Raw genomic sequence first — 25254 nt, 5'->3', positions numbered from 1 at the left:
CTAATAGCAGGCAGTTAGCTATTAAAGGGTAAAGTGAACTCTGAAGAATACAGGACTAGCAGATAGAGGGAGCAGCTTAGGGTCCACCCTAGGGCTGAAACAGAGAACCCAAGAAAGGGACAAATTTGGAGAGTCTCCATCCCGATGCAGAGACAGAGACCTTACAGAGAAGGTATAGCTGTCACCAATGAATGGTGGAGGGAGTTGCTGGGTGTGACAGACTGGGGTTGGCAGGCAAGAACCAGGACACTTGTGGAACTTGCCAGAAGCTGCCTGTGGGGTTAAAGTGAAACTTGCTGAGGGTGAGTCCCACCCTTGACCACAGGAGAGCCACTGGAGGAGGAAGAAAAGAAAGCACCTGAGAACCAGGAAGAGAAGCCCCTTTCTCCTGCAGTATCCCTCCAGAACCCTCCACTGACAAAGCTTAACATTATGTCATCAGGTGAAGAGAAATGTTTCTGGGATTCAGCACCAGTATCACAAGCACGGGAAGTGAGGAGGAGGTGTGAAGATGGGAAGTGATAAATCGATAACCAGCATGCTGTCATTCTATACTATATGATTCTTTGAAATTTAACCTTAATGTATGAAAGAAGTGCGTAAGTTGTGTTGTACAGGTTAGATATGATCTTAGTCTGTTCTTCTACACCTTCCTCACCTCTATTCCTCAATAATTAACAAATTTCTTCAGAATGAAACCAATCTTGGCTAGGATGGCATTTCACCTCAAAACTTTAAACATGTCATAATCATGTACATATATGATCATATATCTATATTGTATATATAATTATATGATTAGTATAATAGTTACATAATAACTAAACATCTATACCAAGGACAGAGGTGGGTCTAAGCTTCTAAAAGAATAAATAAAAGATGCCAAAGATTTCAATATGCTTCCTGATGACAGCAAGTAACTTGGAGGGGAAATAAGATCCAGTGAAGTCAATATCAAACCAAATATTATCAAAAATCAGCTGAGTGACAGAAAATGTGATGAAAGTTTACAGGAGGGAAAAAGGCCCATAGGCTGAAATGGCCAAAGAAAGATTTGTGCCCGGCAGTAAAATTAGCGAAGAATGTTTAGCAATGGGTAGAAGTTGTATGTAAAGTGCAATGGGAATAGGCTAAGATGTGGCTACAGAATGAGAAACATAGACTAACTGGTCCCTTGGCTCTGAATTTGCTAACCTTAGGTTTGAACTGAGCCAGTCAGTTGCAGATGTGTTATGCGCATAGGACAGATGCCAGGAAGATGAGCATGCATGACTTCAAAGACTTGCTGGATCCTGTAAGGCTTTGTTGAAGGAAACATCATTCTACAGACTTCTCCATCATTTAGATGAACCTGTGGTTTCCATATCAGTGGACTAAGCATTTGGTAGTATAGAGGATTTGCTGCTATAATATTCAACTTCTGCTCTTCACATTGTTTAAGTGAAATATTGAAATACCGGCCGGGCACAGTGACTCACGCCTGTAATCCCAGCACTTTGGTCCCGGCTAATCACTCACTCGGGAAGCTGAGGTGGGAGGATCTCTTGAGCCTGAGAAGTCAAGGCTGCAGTGAGCTGTGACTCCACCACTGATACTCTTCCCCAGGTGTCCCTTTGCTGGCGGGTGGATATTTTCCAGGGCGTTCTTTCACAGAAGACTCAGCTTTCTGATAAAATACCTGATAAAATATATCTGTAAAATATTGCATTTACTACTTACAGGGCATGCCATGGGGCTCTGACAAATAGAATGCAAAGGAGATCACCGGTATCAGTCCACACATGAAATATTAGAGAAGCGATTTTTTTTTGCATTTTTTAGAAAGAAAATAATTGGAAATAGAAATTTTTATTTTTATTTGTACCTTTCCTCAAGGCACCACCCTAAGGTGGTGTCTCCTGCCTCCAGCCTTTACCAGGAAGCTGCAGTGACTGCACTGGCAGCTCTGGGCTTTATTTCCTTCTTTGGTTTTGGCCCTGGGAATTGCCCTGACTTTCTTAGAAACTCTGTTATTCATTAGCAATAATTATTCTTTTCAACATCACTAAGTGTTTTATAGCGTGATAGTTTTCATTTTTCTTTTTCTTTTCTTTCTTTCTTTTTTTTTTTTTCTTTTCTTTTTGGGATGGAATCTTGCTCTGTTGCCCAGGCTGGGGTGCAGGGGTATGATCTTGGCTCACTGCAACCTCCACCTCCCGGGTTCAAGTGATTCTCCTGCCTCAGCCTCCCAAGTAGCTGGGACTACAGGTGCCCACGACCACACTCAGCTAATTTTTGTATTTTTAGTAGAGGTGGGATTTCACCATGTTGGCCAGGCTGATCTCAAACTCCTGACCTCAGGTGATCCACCCGCCTTGGCCTCCCAAAGTGCTGGTATTATAGGCATGAGCCACTGTGCCCGCCCAGCATGAGAGGTTTAAGGTCATTTTGTCTTCCTTATTGCTGGAAATGGAAGGCTATAAGAGTTTTGGAAAGAAACGTGGTTATTTTATGTAACAATGGAAACATTTTCAAATCTCCATTTTCAATATGCTCTCCTTATGAGTGCCTTTTGAAAAAAAATCTATTTCTTATTCATTGTTAAAATATTGCATTTATCTTGAAGGGATACACTCAGAAGTTTTGTTTTTTCCATACCATTTGCTCTAGGTAGCATACTACTTACTGTTATTTGCCATCATGAAAAAGACTAGCAAAATTGGAAAATTTGTAATTTTGTAAAATAGAGGGCAACCCCAAGTTTAAATTGAATTTTAAAGTACTTTTATGATCATGCTTCATCTCAGTACAAAGTAGTGTAAAGAGTCTACTATTTAAAGGTCTTGTTTTCATAAAAGTAGCCACATTAGTGATATTCTAAAGCACTCCAATTGCAATATGTGGCGACGTGCTGAAATTGAACAAGAATCAGGGGCCCCATTGTCATCCCCTCAGTGCTAAGGAAAGTCTACTGTTCCTTTAGCTTTCACCACTCACTGGGCATGACAAGGGGCTCTGACAAACAGAATACAGGAGAGGCCACCGTTATCAGTCCACATATTAAATATTAGTAATGCTTAATTTTTTTATCTTTTAGAAAAAAAAGTAGAAATAGAAATTTCTTCCCTTTTCTCAAAGGATTATCTCATACACTCTGAGAGGGGTCCCGCCCTATTTTGTAGACCACTGTTTTATAGGAAGTGTTGTGGGTTGAACTGTGTCCCCCAGAAAGACATGTTCAAGTCCTAACCACTGGTACCTGTGAATGTGACCTTGTTTGGAAATAGGGTCATTGCAGATATAATTAGTTAAGATAAGGTCATACTGGAGTAAGATGCAATATGACTGGTGTCCTCATAAGATGAGAAAAAGACATGTTTATTAAAAGATTATGTAGAGAAACAGCCATGTGATGATGGAGGCAGAGCTTGGAGCAACCCATCCACAAGGGCAGCATACCAGGAATTGCTGGCAAACACCAGAAGCTAGAAGAGGCAACGAAGGATTCTCTTCTATGCCTTTCAGAGAGAACATGGCTCCGCCAACACCTCGCTTTTAGACTTCTGGCCTCCAGAACTGTGCGATGATACATTTCTGTTGCTTAAGCCACAGCTTGTGGTACTTTGTTATGGCAGCCCTAACCAATGAATTTAGAGAATGAAGAAAGTTCAGAGAGGTAGCAGAAGTACTAGTAGAGCAAGGTGACCCAGAGAACTAGACAGGTGAGAGCTTAGGAGGGAGGGTGTGTCAATGGTTTCAAATGCATCCCAGGAAGCAAGAGGACATGAGCAAAGGTCCTGGAATGTGCCTGCTTAGGGCTAGGGGCTGGGAGAGGAAACATTCCTGCTCAGAGGGGCGAGGCACTCAGAGAAGTAGAGGAAGATGCATCGGTACCAAGCGCGGTGGCCCAGGCCTGTAATCCCAGCAATTTGGGAGGCTGAGGTGGGCGGATCACTTGAGGTCAGGAGTTTGAGATCAGCCTGGGCAACATGGTGATGCCCCCGTCTCTACTAAAAATATAGAAATTAGCCAGCCATTGTTGTGGGCACCTGTAATGTCAGCTACTCAGGGGGCTGAGGCAGGAGAATCGCTTGAACCTGGGAGGCGAAGGTTGCAGTGAGCCGAGATCACACCAGTGCACTCCAGCGTGAGTGACAGAGTAAGACTCCATTTCAGAAAAAAAAAAAAAAGAAAAAGAAAAAGAAGATGCATCGGGGCATCGGGACAGGTTGGGTGCAGATGGCTGTGAAGAGCCCTGAGCGCCCACTCCTTTTGCCTTTTGTTGGCGTTCCCTCTTCTGGCATCTGCATTCCTACTCCCTTCTAGTCATTGCAACCCTGTCTACGTTGTTTTCCTTGAGATTTTCTTGTGACACGTATCTAGGCTTCCAAGTGCCCCACCAACACTACAGATGTCTCCATTGCCTTTCCCACACACAGGACTGCTCATATTCTCTCTGCCTCGAATGCTGAAATTCTGCCACACTCAAGTCATCGCTTGAGGGCCTGATTTATAAAGGTTTGCTAAGTTGTTGTACCTCTATTTAATGATATGCTAAGCCGCTGTTGGAAAGATTGATACTGTTAATTAAAAAGCAAGGTGTAGAAAAGGGATTTTCTTTTTTTAGGAGGCTTCTGTGTTTATATAAAAAAGTTGCATGTGCATAGAGTATGCCTATTAGATTAGACTTCTTCCCTCAAAATAAACAAAAACAAGCAAACAAACGAGTAGAAGATGTTGCCTCTGGAAGGAAACTAGGTATCAGGAACAGGAGCGAACACCAATTTGCTTTTCAATATATGTGCTTTTGTACTTAAAACTTTTTGTGCTGTGAAAGGAAAATAAATCTTGGGGCCCCCAAATCACTAAGCTAAAGGGAAAAGTCAAGCTGGGAACTGCATAGAGCCAACCTGCCTCCCATTCTTTTTTTCTTTTTTTTTTTCTTTTTTTTTGAAACGGAGTCTCGCTCTGTTGCCCAGGCTGGAGTGCAATGGTGCAATCTTGGCTCACTGCCAGCTCCGCCTCCCAGGTTCTTGCCATTCTCCTGCCTCAGCCTCCCGAGTAGCTGGGACTACAGGTGCCTGCCACCACGCCTGACTATTTTTTTTTTTTTTTTTGTATTTTTAGTAGAGATGGGGTTTCACCGTGTTAGCCAGGATGGTCTACGATCCCGACTTCGTAATCTGCCCGCCTCCCAAAGTGCTAGGATTACAGGAGTGAGCCACCACGCCAGGCCCAACCTGACTCCCATTCTATTCAAAGTTACCTTTCTGCTCACTGAGGTAAATGCATATCTGACTCTCTCATTGGGAGAGGCTAATCAGAAACACAAAAGAATGCAATCCTTTGTCTCCTATCTACCTATGCCCTGGAAGCGCCCTCCCCGCTTTGAGCTGTCCTACCTCTCTGGACTGAAGCAATGTACATCTTACACATATTGAATGTCTCGTGTCTCCCTAAAATGTATAAAACCAAGCTCTGGGGCTGGGCGTGGTGGCTCACACCTGTAATCCCAGCGCTTTGGGAGGCCGAGGTGGGCGGATCACGAGGTCAGGAGATCGAGACCATCCTGGCTAACACGGTGAAACCCCGTCTCTACTAAAAATATAAAAAATTAGCCGGGCGTGGTGGTGGGCGCTTGTAGTCCCAGCTACTCGGGAGGCTGAGGCAGGAGAATCGCTTGAACCCAGGAGGCAGAGCTTGCAGTGAGCCGAGATCGCGCCACTGCACTCCAGCCTGGGTGACAGAGGGAGACTCCATCTCAAAAAAAAAAAAAAAAAAAAGAAATAAAACCAAGCTCTGCCCCTACCACTTTGGGTACATGTCGTCAGGACCTTGTGAGGCACATGTCCTCAACCTAGGCAAAGTAAACTTTCTAAATTAATTGAGACCTGTCTCAGGTTTTCGGGGTTGACAATGCCATGTATATATTACATTTATGAAAATTAATTTAAAAAGTAAGCATGTCCTTCCATGTTTATAAAAATTAAACATGTCCTTCCGTCATAATGTCACTAACAGCTTAATGTGAATTAGCACAGCAGATGGCATGAACTCAGTGCGTGCCTCAGGGAAAAGATGTGCTAAAGGTAGACTCAGACGCTGAAAGAAGTAACAAGGCAGGGAAGATAAACTGACCCCGCTCCTGGAGAAGGAGCCACATTCCATTAAGGGAGTGAGATTATCTGCTGAGCCCAAAGAAGAGATCGGCTAGGGCAGCTCACATGATAGAATAGGTTTACTCACTTATTTATTCATTCAGTCACTCAACAAATATTTATTAAGCACCTACTTCATGTCTTGTACTAGGTGCTGGGAATACAGTGAAGAACAAAAGTGAAACAGTTTCTGCTCTCATACAGAGATTACATTTCTTAAGGAAGTCAGGCCTTTGGAATGCAGTAGACAAATGGCCATGAGAGAAAAAACATATAAGGTTTGTATTCCAGACATTTGTTTATTTATGTGTGAGTCGCCAGATATAATAGGCAGTATAATGACATGCAATGATGTCCATGTTGTAATCCCCAGAACCTGTGAATAAATTACCATATACAGGGCAGAGGGGTCTTTGTAGATGTGATTAAATTAAGGACTTTGACATGCAGGGATTACCCTGGATAATCTGGGTGGGTCCAATCTAATCACCTGCCTCCTTAAAATAAAAAAATCTTTCCTAGCTGAGTTCAGAGTCAGAGAGAGATGTGACTGTGGAAACATGGTCAGAGAGTTGGAAGGATGCTGATTTTGGAGACAAGAAAGGAGCCATGAGCCAAGGAACGAGGGCAGCCTCTAGAAGCAGACAAAGGCAACAAATGAACACTCTGCCAGAGCTTGATTTTAGCTCAGTGAGGACTGTGTTAGACTTCTAACTTACAGAGCTGTGTTGTTTTAAGCTGCTAAATTTCTGGTGATTTGCTGCAGCTATGATACAAAATGAGTACTTTGGGTTAGCCTATGGGCATGTAAAGTTTGAGTAAAAAAAGGTTCCTGTTCTCAATATTTTTTTTTTTTTTTGAGACCAGGTCTCATTTTGTCACCCAGGTTGGAGTGCAATGGCACGATCACAGCTCACTGCAGCCTTGAGCTCCTGGGCTCAGGTGATCCTCCCTCCTCAGCCTCCTGGGTAGCTGGGACTATAGGCCCATGTCACTATGCCTGACTAATTTTTGTGTTTTTTGTGGAGATGGAATTTTGCCATGTTGCCCAGGCTGGAAGAATGTATATATTATCACAATTTATTGGGGGAGACAAACATGTAAATGGAATAATACAAGTGCTAAAGTTGGGGTGTGTACCTGTAACCATGTATATAAAATTTGCTTGAAGACATTCTGTTAATATCTCCCATCTTAGAAAAATTTCTCCACCACTTCTGCCTCATTTCCTCCCTCCCCGTCGCAGCAAAACTTGAAGAAGTTGCTTATTAATGTAGTCTCCAGTTCTTTTCCTCCGATTTCCTCTTAAAGCCAATGAGTCACTTTTGTTCTCACTTCCCCCTCAACACTACTTGCCCGTGGTCCAGGTTACCAATGGCTTCCATCATGCTAAATGCAATGGTAATTTCAGTCCTCACCCAGCACACTGATTAGCAGCAGTGACACAGCTGACCATGAGCTCTTCCTTGATATACTTTACTTGGTTTCCAGGGCTCCATACCCTTTGGTTTTCCTTTTTCTTCGTTGTATGGCACTTTTCCTTCTCTTTTATAGGATCCTTGTCTTCCAATTGGTTGATACTGGAGTTTCCCAGAGCTTAGTCCTTGGCCTCTATATTTCCTCGTTTGGTGACCTCATGCAGTCTCCTACCAGCTGTATGTTGATGACTCCCACATTTATCTCTCCATCTCATATGTCCCTCCTGGCCTCCAGAATCATTTCTCAAACCTGCTAGTTGTCATCTTCACTTGGATATGTAATAGACATCTCATAATAAACATGGCTGATACCAATCTCCTGACCTTCTCTATTTCCTCCCCACAACCCTCTCCACCCACAGCCTTCCCCATCTCAGTTAATGACAACTCTGTCCTTCCAGGCGCTCAGATGCATAATTGACTCTCACATTTCGCATTAATTTTTGTTGGCTCAACCTTCAAGATCTGTCTAGAATCCAATCATTTCTTTACTGCTACTAACCTGGTCTGGTCACCATTGCTTCTCACCTGGATTACTGCAAAACGATGATGTGGTTTCCCATGCCCCTCAAATAAAAGGCCTGAGCCCTTATGATACCCTGCTAGGCACTACATGATCTAGACTCCTGCTCCTACTATATCTCTTGGGTCATTTCCTCCCTCTCTTACCCTTTCTCACCCTGTTCCAATCAGTCTAGCACTTATAACTTTTTGATACACTATATATAATCAGTTTAGTGTTTCAGAAGGTGATATGTATGCCAGTGCTATGGAAAAAAAATTAGGGGACTCAGAAGCGGCAGGGATGGGGAAGGCAGAATAGGTCAAAGACTCCATTAAAAAATGACATTTAGGCCAGGTATGGTGGCTCGCGCCTGTTATCCCAGCACTTTGAGAGGCTGAGGCAGGTGGATCATCTGAGGTCAGCAGTTTGAGACCAGCCTGGCCAACCTGGTGAAACCCCATCTCTACTAAAAATACAAAAATTTAGCCAGGCATGGTGGCATTTGCCTGTAATCCCAACTACTCGGGAGGCTGAGGCAGGAGAATCGCTTGAACCTGGGAGGCGGAGGTTGCAGTGAGCTGAGATCACGCCACTGCACTCCAGCCTGGGTGACAGAGTGAGGCTTCATCTCAAAAAAAAAAAAAAAAAAAAGACATTTGAGGGAGGTAAGGCAATTAGTCATGTGGATATATCCGAGGAAAACAGGAACCTCTGTCCTTTGGAGGCAATGATGAATCCCAAAGATTCTAAACAGTGCCTGGCACTTAGTAAGTAAATACTCAGCAAATATTTAATGAATAAATAAATTAATTAATTTTCTCTGTCGTAAGTTCTCATGTTGCTTAAATTTTCCCTGTTTTTAATAACATTATTTGTTATTCATTTATTTTTTGAGATATTTATCTAGAATCTCAATTTTAGGCAGCATTGATTAGTTTTTTTGTTGGAGGTGACAAAAGAATGCAGTGTTCATATAACACCAGGAGCTCTGATATTTTTAAAAATCTGTGGGACAAGTCTGAAAGAAAACTTGATTCTACCCTAGACCCTTGTTTCAATCCTAGAGTCTAAACCATACCTGTTTGGTTGTGAATCAAGAATGAAACTGGAAAGACATAATTCTGAAAGTTCACGTAACAATCACCCATGAGCTTGAAATTAGGTCAATGAATCCTTTGTTTAAGATGGCATTAAGTTAAATTTCTATGCGTGAATTGTTTTCATACACAAAACTCAGTCACTTATCAAATAAATCAATACCAACTTCTCAGGCGCTCACATGGGGAAGCTGTGTAAGTACTGTTTAGGAATACAGGCATGGAATCACACAAGCATGTTGAAACACAGGAAGTGACCACTCTGACAATCTCTATATCCAGTTTTTAATGTTCATTTTAATATCTGATTATATTTTATTCAATTAATCTTTTGAATACTTTGGAAAAAAAGAGAGAAAACACAAGCAAAAAGCAAAGACTGAAACAAGATGGTCTCTCATACCTATTCCTAACTCCAATATCAAAAATACATTAGAATCAGCATAATTCATGCCCGGTGTTCCTTTTTTACTTCATTTGTTTGGTCCATAGGAGAAGGGCTAAAACCTCAGGCTGACTGCAGTTCTGAGATCCCAAAGTGATCCTTGCTAGACATACCCAAGGGAACATGAGGTCTGGTGGTGCCAGAGGGTTCATATTAGCTTCTTCCAGTGGAGTGCTGGAACTGACTCACAAGAGCTGACTGGTAGATTTTCAAGAATTTTTGAGGGATGACTAATGTCACACTGACAGTTTGAATTCCATGGTGTAAGTATTTATACCATTGAAATTGACGATTGCTATAAATTAGCCCCCCAATTCCCACCTATAAAAAAACAGCTGTCTAATAGGTTACCAGTATACTACTGGTTGAGTCTCTTCTTCAATAGACCTTGTTCTGTCAACAGGGTTTCCCAAATTTCCATTTTTCAGTTGGGACTTTCTGTCTGAAGTATTTTAATTTTCTTTTTTTTCTTTTTTGAGACTGGGTCTCACTCTTTTACCCAGGCTGGAATGCTGTAGCGTGATCTCGGCTCACTGCAGCCTCAGCCTCCCAGGCTCAAGTGATCCTCCACCTTGGCCTCCCCCGACCAGTAGCTGGGACTACAGGTGTGTGCTACTATGCCTGGCTAATTTTATTTTATTTTTGTAGAGATGGGGTCTCACTATGTTGCCCAGGTTGGTCTAGAACTCCTGGCCTGAAGTAATCCCCCCACCTTGGCTTCCAAAATTGCTGGGATTACAAGTGTCAGCCACTGCACCCAGCCTATTTTAACTTTCAATAGTGAATCATTATAGGTATAAATCATTTTAATCAAGTCTTGGTTTTTTTCTATATGGGCAAACTATTTACAAGCATAAATACCTTACTAGGTTTTGGTTTTACACTTATTTATACAACTCCACTCATAACTACATGACACGATTGATAATAGTTAATTATCTGTCCTTCCCATTTCATGGACAACTGCATGTGGTCTTTTTTTTTTTTTTGAGACAGAGTCTCGCTCTGTTGCCCAGGCTGGAATGCAGTGGCACGATCTTGGCTCACTGCAAGCTCCGCCTCCTGGGTTCACGCCATTCTCCTGCCTCAGCCTCCCGAGTAGCTGGGACTACAGGCGCCCACCACCACGCCTGGCTAATTTTTTGCATTATTGGTAGAGACGGGGTTTCACCATGTTAGCCAGGATGGTCTCGATCGCCTGACCTCGTGATCTGCCCGCCTCGGCCTCCCAAAGTGCTGGGATTACAGGAGTGAGCCACCACGCCCAGCCCAGTCTTTAATATTGATATAACTTAGCGTTTGGAAGCTTCAGCTTCATCATTCATAAAACTAGGATAATAGTAGTATATATTGCTCATTTCTTTGCTGGGAGTATTAAAAGAGATACATGTAAAGAACTTAGCACAGTGCTTGGCACATGGTAATATCTCAATAAACTTTAGTGATTGTGTAGTAATAGTAATAGCAGTACTTTGTGCTATGGGGTATACATACAGAAAAGGGTGAGATGTGGTGCTTTGGTGAAGAAATGCTTTGGCCAATCCTTCTATAGCTTAGGAACATTAATTAAGCAGTTACTATTTGATGGCTTAGATATTGGCAGTCCCTGTACAAGCTAATCCCTTTGCTAGTAGAAAGACTGAGAAATTACCAATTGAGAAATTCTTCACACTCTCAAAATCACATTGGGTATTTCATAGATCAGGCAGACCAAGTTGATATTTTGGAATTGTAAGACTGAAAAATATTGGCTATTTCATATCTTCTTATCTGTCCTCAAATTTCCAAAAGTGGTGTTTCTTCATTGCCCATCTCCCTGTAAAGTCATGATCATGATTCATGAGAAAATAGAAGCAGGCCAGTTGGGACCTTCTTTTCCTTCCACTGAATATACCACCGTACACTTATCTGTACCTGCATCTTTTTGCCTTTATCCTGTTACTGCGGATGACATGTCCAAGCTCCTAACTGAGGGATCAAATCCCCTTTGTCCTCAAAGACTTAACTCCTACAGATGTCCCCTTCTCTGTTTCATTAGTCCTTTCCCCTCTACTGGATCATTCTCCTCCCAGCCTACAAAAAATGTTTTAGTTTCTCCCACCTTAAACTAAAAAACTTTCCACTGATGTCTTGTCATTATCCAGCTGCTATCCCTATTTCTCTGCTCTCCTTCAGAACACCCTATCACCTCCCATTGTCTCTCCAGTCTACTTTCATTAGCTTCTCTCCCCAAAAGTGATGGAAATTGTTTGGTGAAAGCTATTAATAACACCCGTGCTGCCAAACCCAGTGGTCGCTCCTCTGTCTCTGTGCTTCTCCATCTTTCAGTGGTATTTGGTAGGGTTGATCTTTGAAAAACCATCCTCTCCTGGCTGCTGTGTCACATTGTCTAGTTCCTGCCTATTCTCTAGCCATTTCCTCTCAGTCTTCTTTGCTGGTACCTTTTTTTTTCTGTTTGATTTCTTTCTTTCTTTTCTTTTTTTTTTTTTGAGATGAAGTCTTGCTCTGTCGCCTAGGCTGGAATGCAGTGACACAATCCTGCCTCAGCGTTCCGAGTAGCTGGGATTACAGGTGCCAACAACCACACTCAGCTAATTTTTGTATTTTTAGTAGAGACGGGGTTTCACCATGTTGGCCAGGCTGGTCTCAAACTCCTGACCTTAGGTGATCCACCCACCTTGGCCTCCCAAAGTGCTGGAATTACAGGCGTGAGCCACCACACCCAGCCTTCTCTTTGATTTCTAAATGTTGCAGTACCCACATCTAGGCCCTTGGCCCTCTTCTTCCATGACAGATTTTATCTGGCCTCATGGCTTTAAATTACATTTATTTGGCCATAACTTCCAAATTAATGAATTTCACTCTTGCTATCTAGGCCTCCTACTTAATATATCCTCACTTGGATGCTCAGTGGGTGACTCAAACCAATATGACCAAACAGAACTCTTGACTTTCCCTTGGAAACATAGCTCCCATAGTCATCCCCATTCAGTAAGCAGCACCATCTACCTAGATTCTTTTTTTTTTTTTTTTTTTTTTTTTGAGATGGAGGCTCCCTCTGTCGCCCAGGCTGGAGTGCAGTGGCGCAACCTTGGCTCACTGCAAGCCCCGCCTCCTGGGTTCATGCCATTCTCCTGCCTCAGCCTCCCAAGTAGCTGGGACTACTGGCGCCCACCACCACGCCTGGCTAATTTTTTGTATTTTTAGTAGAGACGGGATTTCACTGTGTTAGCCAGGATGGTCTCGATCTCCTGACCTCATGATCCACCCGCCTCGGCCTCCCAAAGTGCTGGGATTACAGGCGTGAGCCACCGCGCCCTAGATTCTTAATATCTTACTACCTAGATTCTTAATGTCTTACTCCCTGCATCCAGTCTACCAGTGAGGCAGCTCTATTTCTAGACTATATCCCAGTCCTGCTCATGGCTTCCTGCTTTCCCCTTTGGTCGTTTATGATCAGTTATCTCCCTAGCTGCAGAAAGATCTTTTTAGTATATAAATAAGATCACATCATCCCCTACTTAGTTAGCTTCCTATTAGAACACAATTCGAAATCCTTCTTTGGTCCACTAGGCCCTCTTTGTGCTGGCCCCAGCCTGTCTCTCCAACCTCCTCTTGCCCATATTCTTCTCCCACTATGCTCCAGCCACACTGGCCTTCAGTATGCTCCTGCAACAAGCCAAGCCATACCACACTGCTTAGGGCCGTTGCATTGCTGTTTTCTTTGCCTGGAGTGTTCTGGCTCCACATCTATGCTTGACAGGCTCCTTTCTGTAATTCAGACCTTAGTTCAAAGTCACTTTTCCAGAAAGACTTTCCTCAACTACCCAATCTACAATCATTCTCCCCATCCCTGCCTGCCACTTTGTTCTCTAGCACATTACCCTTTTTATTTTCCCCATATACCATTCTCTGAATTGATCTTGGTCGCTTACTTATTTGCTTGTTTACTTGTTCCCTGCTGATTCCTCAGTATCATCTCACACATCATCTGAAAACCAATACTTGCTGGAGGAATGAACACTCTGGACACCCAACAAAGATATTTCTAATAGTTGAGGGGATTATCTATTCCACTGCTCACTGTTCTGTAAGTAAAGGCACACTCTTATGAGAAATTTATTGCAGAATGTAGCAGCAGGAAAGCATTATCTCTGTTGAGAATATTCAGTGCCTTTTCCTTTTCTGGTTTCAAAGCTGTCACTGTCAGTTTCTATTTTTTGTTTTGCCTTGGCTATTAGGAAGCTGAAAGCCAAATTTCAAACTCAAGGATGAATATCACGGTATCTCCAATAGTGAACATAAGTTCTTCCTTCCTGAGGTTGATTTCCTCCCTTTGTTGTCAGGAAGCACGGTAATGAAATTTGTCACAAGTTGCCTCAATTTCTTTCTGGATGGAATTGTGATTTAAACAAAAGCATTCAAAGTGTTAACATTCTGGCATAGACCGCACAGCTACCTGTCAAGGAATGTTGACTTGGAGTCATGTAGTATTGAATGGGAGCTCTCTGGCTGTAAGAGTTTATGAGCAACCTCTATTGTTGTTAGGTGATTTGCTGTGATTCATATTTGGGAATTCCCCAAGGTAGTTTTAGCTGGGGTTTGACTTGCCTAAAAAGAGCTCAACCCTCTGGGTGTTAGGGGTTTTAGGCTTTTTTGTATTTGTTGACTTGATGAGTGCCACTTCAGAGTTATGAGCCAAAAAGTTCATGGATCTTGAGAGTTTATCGTTCTCTTAGAGCTCAATGTCTCAGTAGTAGAAGAAATATGCCTTTTAGTTTAGCCTTAAAATGCGATGTCTTGATCTCAAGTAAATTCATGGACTACACCCTTCTAAGGTTCAAAGGAACTGTTCTTAATTATTGTTTAGGTCCAGGGAGGGTTTTGAAGTTTATGGAGCATAAAACATGCTTCTCCCTAGCCTGGCAAAATTAAAATGTAGCTCTTTTGAAGTTCAGCATGTGTTGGTATTTTAATTTATTGGCTACTTTAAATATTTTGTTTGTGGCAACAACATTCTTAAAACAGCAAGAGGGAAAGTATACACTGATTCATTATTATCAAATATTTTTTGATATTTGTACTAAATAGATATAGATGATGTAAAGAATATATATACCTGGTTAATCCATGAAGACATAAGAGTGGACAAATCTCTTTGAATAAAATATGCTATTAAAATAGTCCTGATGGCCTAAATGCAATGCAGAATAATGCTACTGTATATAAGAATTGTACCTTAATTTAAACGTTTCTGCCAAATAAATGTTGGAGTTAAATATTACTTAACAATTGGGTACAAAATTATATTTTAATTTTTAATGAAAACAAACATTGATTCAAGTAGTTTTGAAGAAGGAGCATGCAGAAAATAATTTTCATGAACTATTTCCTTCCAGAAAGGGAAGGGAATGGTTCTTTTGGTAATCAAATGTTCAAAAAACAATCAATCAATCAACCATGTATTATATCATGCAGTAAGTATTTTTTTAAATTAACCTTTTAAAATACACTTTTCTTTTTTATTTACTTATTTTTGAGAGGGAGTCTCGCTGTGTTGCCCAGGCTAGAGTGCAATGGCGCAATCTCTGCTCATGGCAACCTCTGCCTCCCAGGCTCAAGCGATCCTCCTGCCTCAGCCACCTGAGTGGCTGGGATTACAGGTGCCCACCACCACAGCCAGCCAATTTTTGTATTTTTAGTAGAGATGGGGTTTCACCATATTGGCCAGGCTGGTCTTGAACTCCTGATCTCATATGATCCACCTGACACAGCCTCCCAAAATGCTGGGATTACAGATGTGACCGTGCCTGGCCTAAAATACACATTTTATCTACACTTATATGGGTTCCTTTTTAATGTAAAAATCAGGATTTACTTAAAGATGTATTAATTTATAAGGATATTTGATGAAAGAATTCCAAATAGCACATTTAAAACATATATTATTGATAATTTTATATGATATAAAATATAATAAAAATATGTTTATATATAACTTTATTATAACATTTCTATATCCAGATTTTACCTATGACCTTCCCTTTCCCTTTCCCATAACTGAAACCAATGTAGTCAATAGCAATTTCAATTTAAATGACTGTAAAGTCATTGTTCATCATCTACCATAAAGCTCGGGTCATTTCCCAAGTACATTTGAAAGTGAGATTTATCTTTTTTTTTTTTTTTTTTTTTTGAGTCGGAGTCTCACTCTGTCGCCCAGGCTGGAGTGCAGTGGTGTCATCTCGGCTCACTGCAAGCTCCGCCTCCTGGGTTCACGCCATTCTCCTGCCTCAGCCTCCTGAGTAGCTATCACGCCCGGCTAATTTTTTGTATTTTTAGTAGAGATGGGGTTTCACCGTGTTAGCCAGGATGGTCTTGATCTCCTGACTTCGTGACCTGCCCGCCTCGGCCTCCCAAAGTGCTGGGATTACAGGTGTGAGCCACCGCGCCGGGCCCGAAAGTGAGATTTATCTTAACTTATTCTGTCTGCCGTGTTCTTCTGTTAGCATGAGTAGCAAAGGTTGTGATGGAGTAACTGGTGGTATTGAACCAGCCATGTAATTTACTCGTAATTGATCATTCAGTTAAGAGTATCGAACACCTTGCCAGAATTTTAAAAGTCTCCTTGGAAATCTGGAGGGGAAAAAATACAAGCAGGACAAGTAAAACCATCATTTAAAATCTATAGAGATAGCCTTTATCTGCCATATTTTAAGTTTAAAATCAAGGAACTTTTCTATCCAACTTATTTGACAGTGCTGAAGTTTTGAAAGTTTTTCGGCTCATTGCACATATCCTGGTATCCTGGCCAAGATAAGAAAACTCCAAGGTCCAGGAAAGTTTACTATGGAGTCAGATGGTTACTGATCCCAGAACCAAATTCCTGGTGTTTATCTGGGCTCCAGGCTGAGTAGCCTGTTTTAAAAGAGGCAATCAAGAGGTTTTTTTTGCCTTTCAACCATAAGCACTCAGGGCCATCAGTCTTATCATTAAAGTGAAGCTAAGGGTACTTCTGGATTGTGTGTAATCAAGACTTGATGTTAAACCTGAATCCAAAGAAAACACAGTGGTTATCTCAACTGCTTTTAGGTATAAGGTCAATTATGCTGGGGAAGTCTAGTTTTGTTCCTGACCATGATCCTTCCTGTTTTTTCACTTTTTCTTTCAGTATCGAAACTAATGGCACACTCGATATGTCATAAGTGAATGACAGTCTGTAAATGCCAAGGAAGACAGAGAGAGGTAGAAAGCAGCCTTCTTTGGAAGATAAGTGGTAAACTCAAGATTGCTATAGCTAAACGCATAACAATCCTCAACAGGGGAGATGAAAGAAGTGGTTTCTGTAAGAAGGAATTGATACCACTTGAAATTTTAGTGCTGAGTAACTAAGAAAACTTACATGAGGGTCTATGGTTATGCGGAGCAGACACCATCTTCTTTCCCTTTTTCTTCTTCTCATTCTAGTTTTCTAAGATGCAGCCTTTGGTGAGCTTACTAAAAATACAGATTCTTTTAAAGTTAGTGCCGAAGATGACCTATTTATTTTTTTAAAGCTCTTTTATGCAATGTTTTAGTTTTCAATGTGGCAAGAGAAGAGGGTGTGAGAACTGCCTCAGGTCTCTCATTTCCTGGGCTGCCTATGATTTCTGGGTAGAAGTGCCTTTCCTCATGACTCTGTGGCCACACGTGGTTCTGCCAGCCATTTGCTTTGGCATCTGAGAGAATGACTGATGTCATGGGCCCCTTCATGAAATTATTCACTGGCTTTGTTCACTGGGTCCCCAGGGCTACTCGGAGCAGCAAGAAGTTCTGAAAATGAAGAGGGAAGTCATTGGATATAGAATTCATAACTAAAGCTTGTCTGGAAGGAGATCTTTATGTTTGAAAAGGACTCATTTTATGTGCAAATTTTAGACTTTGTATGTCAATTCTTTTTTTTTTTTTGAGATGAAGTCTTGCTCTATCACCCAGGCTGGAGTGCAGTGGCGTTATTCTGGCTCGCTGCAACCTCTGCCTCCTGGGTTCAAGCGATTCTCCTGCCTCAGCCTCCCCAGTAGCTGGGATTACAGGCTTCCACCACCACGCCCAGCTAATTTTTGTATTTTAGTAGAGATGGGGTTTCACCATGTTCACCAGGCTGGTCTCAAACTCCTGACCTCAAGTGATCTGTCCACTTTGGCCTCCCAAAGTCCTGGAATTACAGTTGTGAGCCACCATGCCCGGCCTGTGTGTGGATTCTTTTTTTTATTGTTGTTGTTTTTGTTTTTGTTTTTTGTTTTTTTTTTTTTTTTTGAGATGGAGTCTTGCTCTGTCGCTCAGGCCGGAGTGCAGTGGCGCCATCTCGGCTCACTGCAAGCTCCACCTCCCAGGTTCACGCCATTCTCCTGCCTCAGCCTCCAGAGTAGCTGGGACTACAGGTGCCTGCCACCACGCCTGGCTAATTTTTTGTATTTTTAGTGGAGACGGGGTTTCACCATATTAGCCAGGATTGTCTCGATCTCCTGACCCCGTGATCCACCCGCCTCGGCCTTCCAAAGTGCTGGGATTACAGGTGTGAGCCACTGTGCCCGGCCCTCTGTGTGGATTCTTTATTCTTCTTCTGAGAAATCATATTTGTCATCGTTTTTGCCGTTATCATCATCTGAGTTATCAGTGAGCATCTGTCGACTGTGTTCTCTTCCCTGTTCTGGCAGGTCCCCTGGGTATCCTCTGCCCATCTGGTATTACTTCTCACCTGTTGGTATTCATTGAATGGATACTCAACCTTGGATAGCCTCCCTTCAGGCAAACTTATCTGTTGATCTTTTCCTTCCCTAAATACCATCTGCAATCTTACTACACGATTCAGTAAGCGATTGTCCAGTTAAACTGTATGTGTTAGCATACAGCTTACACATTTGTTATCTAATCCAGAACACAAGTTCCTTGACAGCAGGGATCAAAATAGGGGTGGTAAGCAGATCAACTTGCTCCATTTGTATTATTTGAGATTACCATGTGTATATATAATCTAGTAAAGTAATTTTAAAAAATGCATTACCCTTCCTGGTATATATTGTAAATAAATAAATATTGGAAAAAAAAAAGAAGTAAAACAAAAAAATATTTTATATAGGCTCAGTGTGATAACAAACAAAAGGTCATCTAGGTTTGATAAGTGCCCTTTGCTCTGAAGGGAAGATAAAAATAAATAATAGTGATAAGAGTTAACAAAATAAAACCCAACCTGTCTGGTTGAATGCTAATAATAGTGACTTTACTTCATATAGGCAGCTTCCAGATCAATGTAAAAAAGCTTTACTGAATATTCAGACCAGTGCTATTTACTTAGCTGCTCTCAAATGGGAATAAGCAGACATCAGCTATCAAGTTTCTAGGCTGGAAAAATCCATAAAGGCCACTGGACACAGACACCATGGGGACATCATCCAGACAGTTCATAAAAATAACTTGCCCAACATTTTTGGAACCTGATGCAAGCTATACTTGTGGTTCTGTCTGTTTCCTTTGCTTTATCCAGTAACAACAGAAAAGGAGGCCAGTCACCAGGACTATGATAACTTGGATGTTACAGGAGACAACCAGTACAACATAACACTGCAATTAATAACTCAAGAGCCAATTACTGAGACAGTGCTCTTGTAAGCAATTAACATTTAAGATTCAGTCAGAGGACTAGATGGTAAATGGGTGCTTATCTTAAGCCCAGAGAAAGGAGTTGATTGAGACACAAATATTTGAGCAGGACCATAGCCTCAGATCATTCCATCTGTGTTCACAATAGGGGGAATCCCAATCCTGTGTCACATAAATACATAGAACAAACAACCATAATTTGCTATAGTAGTCAATAAGAATGCATCAATTCATTCAGAAATATTTATTAAACACCTATAACATGCTAAGCATTCTAGGGAATTCAAATATATGTCAGTTATTCCCCAATTTTAAGTAAATTGAAGTCCAGTAATGAAATAAGGTTTGCTCAGCTCATATGTGTTAGTATCATATGAGAGGTATAATTGCTGTAACTATTTGGAGGATGGAGAGATCACTTCCAGTTACTTGATCAGGGAAGGTTCTATAGAGAGGAGGGCACTTGGAAGGGACATACACTTAAAAACAAACTTTTTGTTAAAGCATAACACACACATAAAAGAGAATATATTGCATACAGTACAGGCTCATTGAATTTTCACAATCTGAAAACACTAGATATGTAACCAGCACCCACAGAGAATAGTACAGTATTCCAGAAGCCCCCGACATCCCCTACCAATCACTCTTGGGGGAGTAGGATTTTCTGAGATGAATGTAGACAGACAGAAGATTATTGGGGGAGGGATCAGTATGCATAAAGATGTGGAAGTTGAAAGCCATGACCCATGTTTGGAGAATGGGCTGAAGAGTAATTCGCTTGGGGTGTTGGCTAGAGAACAGGGTCGCGTCCACGTTATACAGCTTTAAATGCAAAGAATTAGATTTTATTCGTTAGCTGCTGAAGGCTTTTGAGCAAGAGGAGTATTTTTGTAAGACTTATTGATGATGGCTGATAATTTATTGGTGATGGGACAATTAAGAGACTGAAGGTTGGGAGACTGGCTGGGAAGCTTCTGTAATAATAGTCCGGGTATGAGGTAATTTTGGCTCTGCAGTGGCAGTGAGAACAGAGTAACTGACCATACACAGACACTTTAAAGAGCCAACAAGAACTAAATGACTGGAGATCTAGAGGAAGGGGGAGGAATCAAAGAAAATTTTCTTCCAAAGATCTAATCAAGATGAAATTTAATAATATTTTTGGGTAGTTAGTTGTTATTTACTTGTTGTATAGGGTTAACACAGTCTTTGAATGCTGCCTCTCCAAGAAATTCTGAAAACTTTCTTACAGTATTTGAAGAAAACCTTGCGTTACTATAAAGAAACTCTAAAGAGAGCAACTGACCTTTCAGACAAAAAAGAGTCCTTTGTTAGTCAGAAAATGTGGACCGTTTGTCTTTTCAAATGGATGCATGCTACGATAAACGTTTTGCTGGGGGGAAAAATGACTCCAAAGAAGACTTTTGAAGATGTCACCCGAACAGCAAATTATTGGGTGCTGAGCACCTTCCTGTTTCTTCATCCTCTTAAATAATTTTTACTAACCCAGATTTCTAGGTAAGATGATTTAACTTCATCGTATACGTTTACATGTAATGTGTTTCTACAGAAAACAAAAAACCTTTTTGAAGAAAAAAGGGCGTAACTTTTTTTGACAACTTAAATCACTGGCTGTGGGAGTCATTTTTAATTGATGGCACCTCTTCTCCTCCCTCCCCGCCCCCATTCCGTCCCTTTGCTTCCAATACGGCGGATTCTTCACTCAACAAATAAACGAGCACGTAACTTGTACTGTAACTTACTATAACGTCTTTCAAGGTCTTTCTTAACTGTACGTTTTTCTGCACAATCAGCACCTTATTTCTTAGAGACTGTTTATTTCTGGAATTTTTGATGCGTGTGGTGGTTTCCAGGCACCAGGATTTGGTAGTAAAACAGGAGACTGAAAAGAAGTTGCTCCTGAAAGCTGTTCTGTGTGCAGGTAACCAAGAGTCATTTCTAAGACCAGACGGAAGGGAAGGAACTTTACTTGGTAAAGAGCGCGTGGGTGGAAAGAGGAGGGGAGTCCGGGAAGATGAGAGGTGGCAAAGGCGGGACCCCGTGCTCTCTCTAGATCTTAAGCTCCGGGTGGGCGGGCGCCGGTGGCCTGGAGCCCGGCCTGCGCGCATCTCCACGCCTCTGGCCGCCCACCTCCTCCGCCCCTTCCCGGGCTAAAGTTCCCAAACTTTTCCTCCAGCTGGGAGAGGAAGGGTGTTACTCAGTTTAAAAGGGAAGTCCCGCCCCATTCCCGCATTCCGATTGGTCGCGGTTTGCCACGCCCCCGCCAGGGCAGCGGGTCAATTGGCTACGGGAGGGGAGCCCCGCCTCAGGCCTGTCGACGTCTGCTGCCCGGGGCCCGCAGGTGGCAGGCAGGTGGGGCTGGTACAGCCCGCGCCGCCTCTGCTGCAGCCGCTGCCGTCTACTCCTTGCGCGCTGGCACTCCGCAGCCTTTAAGGTTCGCGCGGGGGCCAGGCAAGAGTTAGCCATGAAGAGCCTCAAGTCCCGCCTGAGGAGGCAGGACGTGCCCGGCCCCGCGTCGTCTGGCGCCGCCGCCGCCAGCGCGGTGAGTCCCGCGGTCCGGGCTGCGAGGCGCTCCGCTCCGGGAGCAGCGCAGCCCTCCTTTGCTGGCGAGTTCGCGCGCCGCCTTCCTCTGCTTTTCCTCTGCCAGTTCGGCTTCGGCGGCCCTGGCGACTCCTCCCTGAGGCCGGAGACTCCGTCAGCCCAGAGACCCCGGGGATCCTCCCCGCCGCCGCACCCGAGCCTCTACGGGTCTCTTCCCCACCCCTTTCTCCCAAGCCTCCGAACTTCTGGAAGAAACCTCAGTGGGGCGGTTCTGGCCCCCTCCTCCTAAATCCAAAGTTCCTCGATTGGCACCCCTACTCCGCTCTTTCCGTTGACCCCCCCTCGTCGCTCTCCTCTCCCGGCGCTCGCCCTGCTGCCCACGCCCGCTCGGCCGTGTTGGCTCCCCAGTCCCCGGGGCCGGGGCTCGCACCAGGTAGGGCAGGTGGGCAGGGCTGCGCACCCCGCGCCACCGTGCCCGGACTCCGGACCTTCCCCGGGTCTGAGACAGCGTCAAGCCCTGCCGGGCTGGTGGACGTCCCGTGCTGGCCGCTGTCGTTGTCACTGGGAAGTTTGATTCCCCAGCGAGGCAGAGGGAATCGGCTTAGTCGTAAAGACAAAACCCCACAGGGTGGTGACCCTAGAGGTGGTGAAGTTGGGAGGGGTGGTGGTGATGTGGGTTGTGTAAATCGCACCTGTGGGGCGGGATCCGTGCGGGGCTCTTTCGGTGCTGACCTGCAGCGCGGCCTCAGTGTGCGCGCCAAGGAGTAGTCGGGGCCTCTTTAGTTGGCAGGAGAACAGAAATCTTGAGAAACAGCCTGACCGCAGATGTTGTGATTTAGATAATTTGTCACGTTACAAGAATGGCGATATCATCAAAATTCTATATCATTAAAATAAGTGCCACTTACAAAGTCTTGGAAGAGTCGAACGTAAAGGAGTTGTTATGCTCCAACTGCACAGTTACCTAGTTGGGGTAATTAAAATGAACCTTTACAATTCAACGCAGATTTTACCAAATGATTATATTCTTTTTATCAGAATACTAATTAATCTGCTTCTGCTTTTTTGAGTTAATTCAGTTATGCCTTTCTCTCCACCTATATCGAGGATTATTTTACTTGGACATAAAGGAAATTGTGGAGGAACTACCTAGACTTAAATTCCTATTTCAAAAAAAGAGAGTAGATTCAGATGACGTAATTGATGTTCTTTGATAAAGCATGAAGTCGTTTTATAAGCTCATGGAAAACAGAGATTACTTTGTTTCACTTTTTTTTTTAAAAAAAGTAACTGGCAGAAATGTCATTTAGTGATATTGGAGTTCATTACAGTTAAGATTCTACTTCTGTAATGCAAGTTGTGTTTTTAGCCTTATAGAAGATACAAGTTTCTAGATTTATTAGCTTTGTTTTCCCTGGTTGTGTTTGATTTGCACTAAGGATGTAAATCCCACTTGGAGGTTTATATGCCTTAATTTTATCCAGTTTTCTAGAAATGCAGAGTATTTAGTAGGTATTATCAGCATGATAGTTTGCATTTTATACATTTGGAACATAAAGTGCATATCTCTGAGCTTAAATCTTTAGCACTCAATTGAGCGTTCTATTTTTCTCAAAATGACATAATAAAGATAAACATGATATTAACCTATTTATGTAGAAAAAGCAAACATTTCTGTTTAAATATTAGAATAAGTTCTGTACAATTTAAAAATAAAAGCGTAATGAGGAATAAAACTTAGAATGAATTCTGTAAAATTTTAAAATAAAACTGTAGTGATGAATAAAACCAAACCAAGCATTGATAGAATAAAACACATGTACAGGAGAAATAGACCCTTTCTGCTTTTCAATCTATAAACCATAATCCCAGATTTGGTCACATGTATATGTATTTATTGTATGATTGGGCCACCCTTTTTTTTTTTCTTTTTGCCTTTAAAAACAGTTATTTTTTGAATAGGTAATATAGCACATGGTTTAATATTGGAAAGGAATAAAAATATTTACAACAAAATATCGACACCGTGTTTCCCTAACCCCTGCTTCAGCCACCCTGCCCCCACTTCCTGAGGCCACTGATGATACAGTTGCTTGCATGTTCCTCCAGAGAGAGCTTAGCATATACAAGCAAATATGAATATAGTCACCCTTTATAGAAATGCTAGCACACTGTAGCTGCTGTTTCATATCTTGGACTTTTTTTTTTAAAACTGTAAATAGAGGCTCCCCATTCATATCTTTTGCTGTAATGTACAATTCTGTGATTAATATTCATATTTCAAGTGTGTGTCTGTACCTGTAGGATTAATTCCTAAAAGTGAATTGCTGGGTTAAAGGATATGTGCATTTGTAATTTTGAAGGATGTTGTCAAGTTTCCTTTCATGCATCATGGAACCAGCATATGAGAAATGTTTTCCAAGCTTTTAATAGAAGTCTGTTCAAAGTTTTTGACCTTTGCTAGCCTGATAGGTAAGAACAGTTTATCCTTTCCATTTTTCTTTTTCTGTTTTTTTTTTTTTTTTGAGACGGAGTCTCGCTCGGTCGCCAGGCTGGAGTGCAATGGGACCATCTTGGCTCATTGCAACCTCCGCCTCCCAGGTTCAAGTGATTCTCCTGCCTCAGCCTCCTGAGTAGCTGGGACTACAGGCGTGCACCACCACGCCAGGCTAATTTTTGTATTTTTAGTAGAGACAGGGTTTCACCATGTTGTCCAGGATGGTCTCAATCTCTTGACCTTGTGATCCACCCGCCTCGGCCTCCCAAAGTGCTGGGATTACAGGCGTGAGCCACTGCGCCTGGCCTGTCCTTTCCATTTTTCTATTGGGTTGTCGATATTTTTCCCTATTCATTTGTATATACTTTATATCAGGGAAATTAGCCCTTTTCATTTGAATAATATTATTTCTTAATTGGCTGTTTGTCTTAAGACATTTTTATGGTGGCATTTGCTGTGCAGAGAAGGTGGTTATTTTTATACAATTGAATTTATAACCTTTTATGATTTTTAGGTTTATGTAATATCTTGGCCTTTCCACTCTGCGATATTTAATATTAAACAACCCCCCTCCCCAACTTTCTTCTAGTTTTTTTTCTTTTTTTACATTTAAGTCTTTGATACATAAGATACTTATTATGGTGTTAAAGTACATCTTACTTTCTTCTCTTTCCTCTATGGGTACTTAATTTGGGTCTTAAACTGTTCATTTAATTATTTTGGAAATAGTCACTATTTACTTTGCACAACTTTGATTTGAGATAAAATTTTAAAATGTTTATTTCATAAATAATTTCCTTTGTGTATTTAAGCTTATTATCTGAAGAAGACACAGCAGTAGACTGAGGTATGTGACATATGCAGTATTTTATTACATAATATGTGGAATAC

At 42.1% G+C, this 25254-nt stretch overlaps 1 protein-coding gene across 3 annotated transcripts in view, besides 1 other annotated feature; it reads left to right on the top strand.

Annotated features, from left to right (window-relative positions):
• UACA (uveal autoantigen with coiled-coil domains and ankyrin repeats) overlaps nt 6294-25254 on the top strand; it is a 124350-nt gene continuing 105389 nt past the window's right edge. For 2 of the 3 annotated variants that reach the window (XM_017022394.3, NM_018003.4), the window contains exon 1: nt 21639-21867. In XM_017022394.3, the coding sequence (XP_016877883.1) occupies nt 21790-21867 (78 nt within the window). In that variant the 5' untranslated portion in view covers nt 21639-21789. Of the gene's footprint in view, nt 6416-21638; nt 21868-25254 lie in introns of those variants that run through there. The other variant, XM_017022395.2, reaches the window with a different exon arrangement.
• Nucleotides 21465-21874: a silencer, noted in NCBI's record as "silent region_6609". NCBI's record gives its function as "represses an Ori minimal core promoter by ATAC-STARR-seq in GM12878 lymphoblastoid cells {active_cell/tissue: GM12878}" and the evidence as "EXISTENCE:reporter gene assay evidence [ECO:0000049][PMID:35858748]".

This window comes from Homo sapiens, chromosome 15 (genome assembly GCF_000001405.40).
Source record: "Homo sapiens chromosome 15, GRCh38.p14 Primary Assembly".
NCBI lineage: Eukaryota > Metazoa > Chordata > Mammalia > Primates > Hominidae > Homo > Homo sapiens.
The sequence above is the reverse complement of the archived record's forward strand: the minus strand, read 5'-3'. Positions and strand labels throughout refer to the sequence as shown.